The sequence below is a fragment of the Homo sapiens genome, chromosome 1, assembly GCF_000001405.40.
Source record: "Homo sapiens chromosome 1, GRCh38.p14 Primary Assembly".
Taxonomy (NCBI): Eukaryota; Metazoa; Chordata; class Mammalia; order Primates; family Hominidae; genus Homo; species Homo sapiens.
This window is the reverse complement of record NC_000001.11, coordinates 82061638-82062710: the sequence shown is the minus strand read 5'-3', so window position 1 is coordinate 82062710 and position 1073 is coordinate 82061638.

Genomic DNA, 1073 nt, shown 5'->3' with positions numbered 1-1073 from the left:
CTGTTCAGTCTATATATGGTTGTGTTGGTCGCTTACATAGTCCCAATACAATCTGGCACTGTAAGAGTTGCTGAAGGTCATATGACACCCTGCACTGTATAACTCACCCCCGTCAGCTTATCTCAAAAGATAGCTTTGGTTGTAGCAGAGTCTCACAGTTTTACAGATTTCTCTGAAAGGTAGCATTGTGAAGAATTTTTTTTTAAGTAAATGGAGCTATATTTGTTATTTTCAGTTTAGTGTTGGCTTAGTATTCTAGAGACTAGTAAAACATTGACCCATAAGGTTAGTCACCAATGGCATAGCTAGCACACCAGTTCTTTAAAACAAAGAAAAATATGTGAAAAACATGCCTTGTAGCCACGTCTTACTCTGTTACTCATAAATTTTTTTTAATGATACATACAACCTTCTACAGATTTTCACTGACTGTTTGTTGTAGTACTGGATTTTCTTAATTTATACTTATAATTATTATAAAAAACTGTATTGTTGCCATGACAAAAATGCAAACTGAGTTATGATCTGAAACATGTATGTCACCTAGTGAGCACAACAGAAAACTATGATCATTGTAACTTTAGAAAAAGAGAAAACAGATCAATTATGAGCAAAGAGCATGATGAATCTATAAATAGCCTTTCTACAATGGAGATGTGTAAAATGCTATAGGATTTTTTTTAAAGGAGTAAAAAGGAATTGAGACCAGGCGCACTGGCTCACACCGGTAATCCCAGCACTTTGGGAGGCCAAGGCGGGTGGATCACCGGAGATCACGAGTTCGAGAGCAGCCTGGCCCACATGGTGAAACCCCGTCTCTACTAAAAATACAAAAATTAGCCGGGCGTGGTGGCGGATGCCTGTAATCCCAGCAACTCGGGAGGCTGAGGCAGGAGAATCACTTGAACCCGGGAGGCAGAGGTTGCAGTGAACTGAGATTGCACCACTGCACTCCAGCCTGAGTGAAATAGCGAGACTCCGTCTCAAAAAAGAAAAAAAAAGGAAAGAATTGAAACAAAAACTAAATTTATCTCATAAATTCTGTTTTTCATAATTATAAGACAAATGAAAGG